The following is a 10,671-nucleotide window of genomic DNA, read 5'->3' as shown; positions in this document are numbered from 1 at the left end:
TCATGAGAACAGCATGAGGGTAATTGCTCCATAATTACATTACCTTCCACTGGGTCCATCCCACAACACGTGGGGATTATGAGAACTACAATTCAAATGAGATCTGAGTGGGGACACAGCCAAACCATGTCATTTACGAAATGGTTTTATCAGTTCTGAGAGTTTGTTGATGGAGTCTTTAGGTTTCTCTATGTATAAGATCATGTCCCTGTGAATAGAAACAATGTTACTACAGCTTTTCCAATTTGGATGCCCTTTTTTTCTTTATCTTCCCTTATTGCTCTGGATAGAACTTTCAGTACTGTATTGAATAAGAGTGTTGAAAGTGAGCATTCTTGTCTTGTTCCAATTTAGTATGATGTTAGCCATACATTTGTCTTATATGGCCTTTATTATAATGCAGTATGTTCTTTCATTACCTAATTGGCTGAAACTTTTCATCATGAAGGGATGTTGAATAATAATTTCTTTGATTTACTGATATGATCATGTGGGTTTTGTTCTTCATTTTGTTGATGTTATGTATCACATTTATTGATTTGCTTATGTTGAACCATCCTTACATCCCTGTGGTTAATCCCACTTGATCGTGGTGTATTATCTTTTTGACACATTTTTGAATTTGGTAAACTTCTTTTTGGGCTCTAGTATCAGAATGTCAGAATTCAAATAAAAGTTCTGCTTGATTTTGGATGAGTGATTTTCTAAGCTGCAGTTTTTCCTTTATCTGTTAAATAGCAACAACAGAGGATAGCCTTCCTAAAAATTACTGAAACATTTATTTAGCTTAGACCTGTAACATGTTTGACAAATAGAAAAGTTCCATGCAGATTAACTGTAATTATAATTTGCTAAAAAGAGAGCACAATTATCATACTTTTGATTTGGATAGTAATTTGTTAAATGAATCATTGCTTTTATTTTTTTCTCTGAACAAAGCAACAAATTGAGTAGAAAACTCGATGTCTGAAGTAATTTTCCATTTGATTTGGCTTATCACAAATGCAGAAAAGGGACAATTTTTCCTACCCTGACATCCATCTTTATTCAAAGCATTCTTATATTTCTATTTTATGAATGTTGGTGTATTTATTTATTTATTTGAGACGAAGTCTCACTCTTTGTCCCAGTCTAGAGTACAGTGAGTGGTGCAATCTAAGCTCACTACAACCTCTGTCTCCCCGGTTCAAGTAATTATCCTGTCTCAGCTCCCCCAGTAGCTGGGATTGAAGACATGTGCCACACCTGGCTAATTTTTGTATTTGTATTAGACACAGGGTTTCACCGTGTTGGCCAGGCCAGTCTTGAACTCCTGACCTCAGGTGATCTGCCAGCCTTGGCCCCACAAAGTGCTGGGAGTATAGGCATGAGCCACTGTTCCTGGCCAGTGTATTCATTATTAATGTATGTTTTGCTAAGTTATGCTTTGTCTTATTCCCTTATTTTGGTAAAAATAAGTGGCATGCAGATTTGATCACAATATCAATATAACATGTCCTGTTTCATAGCAATTTTACTTTTAGTTAATTATTATGTGGAAATCAATGAACAGAGATGTAAGCTAATATTTATATATGATAATCATTGCAGAAAATTTTATGATAACAAACTGAAAAATTATAAGGTAACTATGTAAAAGTAAGAGATTGTTCAAGTCATTTCCTTGTAACTAAACATTATGCAACTGTTAAAAATCAGAATGTATGAGAATATTTACCACTCAATAAGCTGATTTACCATGTTTAATTAAGAGGGATAAAAAGCAGCCTGGAAAACAGAATTTGCGATATGAGTAGATAGATAGATAGATAGATAACTTGTATATACACACATACCTCTGAAAGTGAAAACATCAAAATGTGAATGGTGGCTTATGAATGATTTCTGAAAATTAAATTTCAGTATTTTTCCCGTGTTTCTTAAGTTTTCTACAATGAGCAAGTATTACTCTTTAAAATTTGAAAGACACATACAATCCAAAAGATGCTGTTAAAAACAAACAAAAACAATGAAGTGATGTTTTCCTTAGCAAACACTTGACTTGATCAGTTTTCAGAAGAAGACTTTAGGAAACAAGAAATGACACCAAAAAAATCACACTTACCCTTACCTGTTAAGACATACAATTGCTGTTTAGCTTTGGACAAAATAAAAGACCTGAAAAAATTTTAATACAGATCCTTTCTTTCCTGAAGATAGAACTCCTCAAACCCATTGAATGCTGAGGTATTGATGTCAAGCTATAGTCGCCCTAAGTTAGTTTAGACCCATTATTAATCGGTAACTACCAAAATTAGAATCTTTCCTTTGAAGATGACACAGTGACAGCCTGACATGGTTTGGCTGTGTTCCCACCCAAATCTTATCTTGAACTGTAGGTCCCATAATTCCCATGTGTCATGAGAGGGACCCAGTGGGAGGTAATTGAATCATGGGGCAGGTCTTTCTGTGTTGTTCTCATGGTAGTGAATAAGTCTCACGAGATCTGGTGGTTTTATAAAGGGGAGTTCCCCTGCACACATTCTCTCTTGCCTTCTGCCGTGTAAGACATGCTTTTGCCTCCCCTTTGCCTTCCACCAAGATTTTGAGGCCTCCCCAGCCACGTGGAACTGTGAGTTCATTATACCTCTTTTAGTTATAAATTACCCATTTTTGGGGTATGTCTTACTAGTAGTGTGAGAACAGACTAATACACAACTTAAGTAAATTTTCCTCCTCCTTGAGAATATTCTGGGCACAAGATGCCGTCTGTTAAGAGTGTATACACATGTCAATGTAGAAGATTTCATCAGGTCCTTTTGAGAACAATTAAGTGGCTGCAAAATCAAAAGTTCAAGTTTTAAACAATGTCTATCACATGTCTATTGACTTTACACCAAATGCTCTTAATGCTTTCTGGAATTAGCATTAGTCCAACAGGAAGATATTAAAATCCTAAATTTCTATGCACCTAACACTGGAGCTCCCAAACTTATAAAACATATACAAATAATTATAAACATATAAAAATTATTATAAAATTACTACTAGACCTAAGTAATGAGATAGACAGCTACACTCTAATAGTCAGAAACTTTAATACCCCACTGACAACACTAGACAGATCATCAAGACAGGAAGTCAACAAAGAAACAATGGACTTAAACTATACCCTAGAACAAATGAATTTAACAGAAGTTTACAGAACATTCTTTCCAACAAGTGCAGAATGTACATTCTTCTCATCAGCACATAGAACATTCTCCAAGGTATACTACATTATAGGCCACAAAACAAGTCTCAATCAATTTAAGAAAACTGAAATCAGATTAAGTATCTTCTCGGATCACAGTGGAATAAAACTGGAAATGAACCCCAGAAGAAACCCTCAAAACTATACAAATACATGAAAATTAAATAATCTGCTCTTGAATGATTTTTGGGTTAACCAGGAAATCAAGATGGGAATTTAAAGTTTTTGAAATGAATGATAATAGTGACACAACCTATTAAAATCTCTGGGATACAGCAAAAGGAGTGCTAAGAGGAAAGTTCATAGCATTAAATGCCTACATCAAGAGTCTGAAAGAGCACAGATAGACACATAAACAGAATTAAAAACAAAAGTCATACGATCATCTCAATAGATGCAGAAAAAGCATTTGATAAAATCCAGCATCCTTTTGTGATAAAAACCCTCAACTAAACAGGCATAGAAAGGACATACTTCAATGTAATAAAAGTCACGGCCAGGTGCGGTGGGGCTCGTGTACTTGTAATCCCAGCATTTTGGTAGGCCAAGGCGGATGGATCACAAGGTCAGGAGTTCAAGACCAGCCTGGCCAAGATGGTGAAACCCCGTCTCTACTAAAAATACAAAAATTAGCCAGGCATGGTAGTGGGTGCCTGTAATCCCAGCTACTCGGGAGGCTGAGGCAGAGAATTGCTTGAACCTGAGAGGCGGAGGTTGCAGTGAGTCGAGATCGCGCACTGTACTCCAGCCTGGGCAACAGAGTGGGAATCCGTCTCAAAATAATAATAATAATAAAATAGAAACTAAAAGTCAAACCCACAGCCAACATCCTACCAAATGGGGAAAAGTTGAAAGCATTCCCCCTGAGAGCTGGTATGAGACAAGAAATGCTCACTTTTACCACTTTGATTCAACATAGTACTGGAAGTTCTGGCCAGAGTAATTAGACAAGATAAAGAAATAAAGTGCATCCAAATTGGAAAAGAGGAAGTCAAACTGTCGCTGTTCACAGATCACATGATCATATAACTAGAAAACCCTAAAGACTCATCCAAAAACCTCCTAGACCTGATAAATGAATTCAGAAAAGTCCCAGAATACAAAATCAATGTACACAAATCAGTAGCAGTGCTATACACCAACAATGACCAAGCTGATAATCAAATCAAGAACTCAATCCCTTTTATAAAAGCTATGAAAAGAAAAAAGTACTTAGAAATATAATTAACCAAGGAGGTAAAAAATCTCTACAAGGAAAATGACAAAACACTACTGTCAGATATTATAGACAACACAGACAAATGGAAACACATCCCATGCTCATGGATGGGTAGAATCAATATTGTGAAAATGACCATACTGCCCAAAGCAATTCTCAGATTCAGTGGAATTCCCATCACAATACCATCGTTATTCTTCACAAAACTATAAGAAACAATCCTAAAATTCATATGGAACCAAAAAAGAACTTGCATAGCCAAAGCAATACTAAGCAAAAAGAACAAATCTGGAGGCATCACATTACTCAACTTCAAATTATGCTACAAGGCTTTAAGTTACCCAAACAGCATAGTACTGGAATAAAAATAGGCATGTAGACCATTGGAGCAGAATAGAGAACCCAGAAATAAAGCCGAGTACTTATAGCCAACTGATCTTTGACAAAGCATACAAAAATATAAAGTGGGGAAAGGATATACTATTCAATAAATGGTGCTGGGATACTTGGGAAGCCCCATGTAGAAAAATGAAACTGGATCCTCATCTCTCACCTTATATAAAAATCAACTCAAGATGGATCAAATACTTAAATCTAAGTCCTGCAATCATAAAAATTCTAGAAGATAACATCGGCAAAACTCTTCTAGATGTTGGCTTAGGGAAATAATTCATGACTAAGACCTCAAAAGCAAATGCAACAAAAACAAAAGTAAATAAATGGGACCAAATTAAACTAAAGAGCTTCTACACAGAGAAATAAATCATCAGAAGAGTAAACAGACAATCAACAAAGTGGGAGAAAATCTTTGTAAACTATGCATCCAGCAGAGGAATAATATCCAGAATCTACAAGGAACTAACTCAAACAGTTCAGCAAGAAAAAAACAAATAATGCCATCAAAACGTGGGCTAAGGACATGAATAAACAATTCTTAAAATAAGATATACAAACAGCCAACAAACATATAAAAAATGCTCAGCATCACTAATTATCAGGGAAATGCAAATTAAAACCCTAGGGAGATACCACCTTACTCCTGCAAGAATGGCCATAATTAGAAAGTAATAATAGATATTGGCACCAATGTGGTGAAAGGCAAACACTTTTGTACTGATGTTGGGAATGTAAACTAGTACAGCCACTATGGAAAACAGTATGTAGATTTGTAGAACTACCATTCGATCTGGCAATCTCACTACTGGGGTATCTACCCAAAGAAAAAGAAATCATTTATGAAAAAGACCCATACACACACATGTTTATAGCAGCACAATGTGCAATTGCAAAATATGGAACTAACCTCAATGCCTTTCAAACAAGTAGATAAACAAAATGTGGTATATATACACCATGGAATACTACTCAGCCATAAAAAGGAACTAAATAGTGTCTTCTGCAGCAACTTGGATGGAGCTGGAGGCCATTATTCTAAGTGAAGTAACTCAGAAATGGAAAATGCAAATATTGTATGTTCTCACTTATAAGTGAGAGCCAAGCCCTGAGGACACAAAGGCATAAGAATGATGTAATGGAGGCCAACGAGGGTGGATCAATTGAGCCCAGGAGTTTGAGACCAGCCTGGCCAAAATAGCAAAACCCTGTCTTTACTAAAAATACAAAATATTAGCAGGGTATGGTGGCTCACACCTGTAATCTCACCTACTCAGGAGACTGAGGCACGAGAATCACTTGAACCTGGGAGGTGGAGGTTGCAGTGGGCCGAGATCATGTCACTGCACCCCAGCCTGAGTGACAGAGCAAGATTCTGTCTCTTAATAATAATAATAATAATAATGAAATTTGTCAACTCAGATGATAAGGGTTGGGAATGAGTGAGGGATGAAAGACTACATATTGGGTACAGTGTACACTGCTTAAGTGACAGATGCTCCAAAATCTCAGAAATCACCCCTAAAGAATTTATCCCTGCAACCAACTTGAAATTAAAATAAAATTTTAAAAAGACAATAGGCTATAGAATATATTTTACAACATTCTGATTAACTATCTTAGTAAATTTGAGTGAAAGTTATCCACATCTTAGTTAAATATTAAATGGAGTTTCTTTATATGGGTAGCTGCACAAGCTTCCCAAAAATGTTTAATTGACACTTTGGATAGCAAGGTGATAAAGAGTGATATATGAGTTTTAAAATTATTTATGTTCCATAGAAAAGTAAGAAAAATATTTACTTTTATATGGAGATAATTTAGATAGTATTTGGCTACATCTATTTTTTCAACTTGGTCTCCAAGGTACTCATAAAAATCACTGGCTGTTATACTTTTGCCTTTTGAAGCAGGACAGCTTGGACTGCTGTTCAGGATGTCCTTATTAAGTATATAGAGGAGAAAAGATAAATGAAGAAATTTACAGCCTGCTTGATACCTGTCTTTCAAATATCTTTAGAGTTATGCCACCTGGAATATCTTGCAAATTTTCATAGAGAACTCTTTAGATAGAGTATGAAATATTGGCCTGAGCTGAAATGAGCTCATTTGTTTTAAGAAAAGATATATAAACTACAAGGAATTTAAAAGAATATTATCTCATGCCAAATCAAATTTTAGTTTTCTTTCTTCTTACTATTATTGTTAATGTTTTATGTAAATATATGTGTTTACCTGGAAAATGTATAGTAGTATTAGAAAAGAAACAAGTAAAACATTGCATAACATGTTTTTTTAAATTTTAAAGTTATGAAAATATAGAAAAGGTTTATAATTCCTGATAGTTTGATGACACTTGCTTATCTTGAGATATGAGATTGTTTTGTTTTTTGTCAATGCAGTTTTGAAAAGAAAAGCAATTGGTAAGAAACCCGTAAGGTGCCCCTCAATGTTTGCTGCCTCTTGTTACATATTCCCCTTTTTCTCAGGATGGGCTGGATTTAGGAATGCTCTTATGCAATAGCATATGATAAAAGTGATGGATTTTTACATCCAAGATTGGGCTACCAAGTACACTACACTTGCAGCTTACACAAGTTTCATATTTGCTGGCTCACCTCCTTGGCATGGGCTACAATCAGCCTGCAGCTGCCTCTTCTGTTCATTCCCCTTTCACCATTTTCCTTCAGCTATTCCAACAACTGGGAAAAATGCATGTTTAACTCCATGATGCAGGGTGTTGCTTTGTCTTGCAGGACATCCATATCGCTGAAGTTAAAGGAGGTGAAAGGCAGAAGGATTGAAACATCTTAGGGCATCCTCATTGGGTCCACCTTCTACTTATGGGTTTCAGCTTATCCTCATTGTTTCTGGTCATACATCAATCTTTCCTTCCTGATTTCCTACTCTGCAATTTAAAGCTCTAGTGCAAGACACAAATACAGCATCCTTACAGAAACTGTTTGTTTAATCAACTCCCATGATTGCATAACATCAAATCCATATAATCACACACACACACATGCACACACACAAAGTCAACAACTTAAAATAATAGATAATAAGCAAGTTACAGAAATCCTGGGAAGGCCAGGGAGGTGGACTAACATTAAACAAACATATATGTTTAATATGTCTAATGTTCATGTTTTATGAGTGGACTCTGGCTAATATAAATGAAAAAATAAATAATAAATAAATGAAAAATAATTAATCAAAAATAAATTTCATAAAGTGCAAAAGAGAAAAATGCTTGAAAAAAATAGAAGCCCAAATAGTTAATGACAAGAATTAAAACAAGACACACTACAGAAATTGCAAGTTTTAAAAATATAAAATAACAGGACATGATTTATGCATGTAAATTTGGAATTTAAGGAATATAGACAAAATATTTTAAAGTATATGTTAGCAAATCTTATTCAGAATAAATATAATAAAAAAAGAATAAGATCTACTATTTGATAGCACAGCAGGGTGACTATGGTCAATAATAACCTAATTGTACATTTTAAAATACTAGAAGAGCATAATTAGATTGCTCTAACACAAAGAATAAATGCTCAATGGGATGGATGCTCCATTTTCCATGATGTCATTATTACACGTTGCATGCCTGTATCAAAACATCTCATGTACCTTATAAACATATGTACCTACAATGTACCCACAAAAATAAAATAAAAAAGTAAAAAAAGAAGAAATAGGCAAACCTAAATTATCACATAACCATTAATAAAATTGAGTAAGTAGTGAAACATCTTCCCACAAAGAAAACTCCTGGCTCAAGTGGCTTTACTCATAGCTTCTACCGAATGTTTAAAAAAAAAAAAATTCAGTTACACAAAAATGCTTCTAGATAATATAAAAAGAAGAAAAAAACCTTAGCTTATTTTATAAAGCTAGCATATTTGTGATTCAAACCTCAAAATTGAACAGCATGAAAAAGAAAAAATATATATACACACACATATATATGTACACATAAGAATAAAGATAACTATATATATATACACTATGTATGTATATATATATGTATATATATTTCTTTCTTTTTCATGCTGCCCTATTTTGAATTTTTGTATCAAGCATATTCTAGCTTCATACATATATTCATTCCAAGTTCCTTTATGAATGTAGCTGTATCCTAACAAAATAGTAGCAAACTAAAACTACTTTAAAATGGATAACAAGGAAGTTACAGGCATCACAGAAGGCAAGGGATGTTGTTTAATACTACAAAAATTAATTCATGTAATCCACCGAATTAAGAGATTAAAATAGAAAAATCCCCTGATGTAACAGATTCAGAACAACAATTTGACAAAATTCAGCATATTTGGTGATTATTTTTTAATAAAGTTGTAAATGAGGAAAGTCCTGATACAATCAATTTACAAAATTTTCATCAAATTGTTGCTTCAAGGGAGAATGTAATTGCTATAGGCCAGAGCTCTTGCTGTATCAGGAAGATATAGCCAAATATTATACAAATACAATGCTTTTAAAGGCACTAGGGGGCAGATGCAATGAACTAAAGATGGGGATGTAATGAGAACAAGTAAAACAGATAAATACTAATTTTTAAAAAGTAAAAATAAAACAAATAATGTAGGTTATAATAAAAATTAGAAATATAATCAATCTTAAGTCACTTACATAACAATTTCAGATAACTTATAGATAACAGGAAATAATGTTAAGATTTATGTGAATTCTTAGAATTTTACAGATAAAAACTCAAATTTGTGGTTTTGCAATACTCTGACTTACATTTTCTCTTCCAAAATTACTTTCAAAGAATAACACAAAGAACCATACTGTAATATCACTTAATTATATACTAGAAAAAATAAATATAAAATTAACATTCAGAAGAGGTAGTTTCTAATTGTCATCAGCCTAATTGTGCCTTTTCTAAGTAGCCTAAGATTACATGGTATTAGCAAGTGTATTAGTCTGATCAGGCTGCAATAACCAAATACCACATGCTGGGTGGCTTAGGCAACAGAATTTTCTTTTCACAGTTATGGAAGCTGGAAGTCCCAGATCAAGATCTGGACACTGATTTTTGTTGAGAGCTCTCTTTCTGGCTTGCAGATGGCCAATCTCTTCTCATATGGTAAGAGAGCTCTTTGGTGTCTCTCTTTTTTTTTTTTTTTTTTTTTAGACAAAGTCTCGCTTTGTCACCCAGGCTGGAGTGCAGTGCAGTGGTGTGATTTCGGCTCACTGCAACACTGCAACCTCCACCTCTCAGGTTCAAGAGATTCTCCTCCCTCAGCCTCCTGAGTAGCTGGGATTACAGGTGCATGCCACCAAGCCTGGCTAATTTTTTTCTGTTTTTAATAGAGAAGGAGTTTCACCGTGTTGGTCAGGCAGGTCTCGAACTCCTGACCTCGTGATCCATCGGCCTCAACCTTCCAAAGTGCTGGGATTACAGGCATGAGCCACCAAGTCCAGCCTGGTGTCTCTTTTTATAGGGACAGTAATTCTATCAGATCAAGGTTCTACCTTTATTACCTTATTTAACCTAAATTAATTCTTAGAGACCCCATCTACAAATACAGCCACACTGGGGGTTAAGTCTTCAACCTATGAATTCTATAAGAGACACAACATTCAGTGTGTAACAGCAAGATATATATTTTTTCTTTGAGAAAATTAGTACACAAATAAAAGATGAAAACAGTCCTTAAACCAAAGTATTGGTCTATACTTTATGAACAACTAGATGCACGTCTGTCTTGAGGAAAGATGAGTGATATTCTTCCTTTGGTTAGAAGTATGCCTGTCTTGTGCTTTTAGTACATATATCTCCATAAATATA

The sequence above is a fragment of the Homo sapiens genome, chromosome 5 (genome assembly GCF_000001405.40).
Source record: "Homo sapiens chromosome 5, GRCh38.p14 Primary Assembly".
Classification (NCBI taxonomy): Eukaryota; Metazoa; Chordata; class Mammalia; order Primates; family Hominidae; genus Homo; species Homo sapiens.
Note: the sequence above shows the minus strand (reverse complement) of the source record.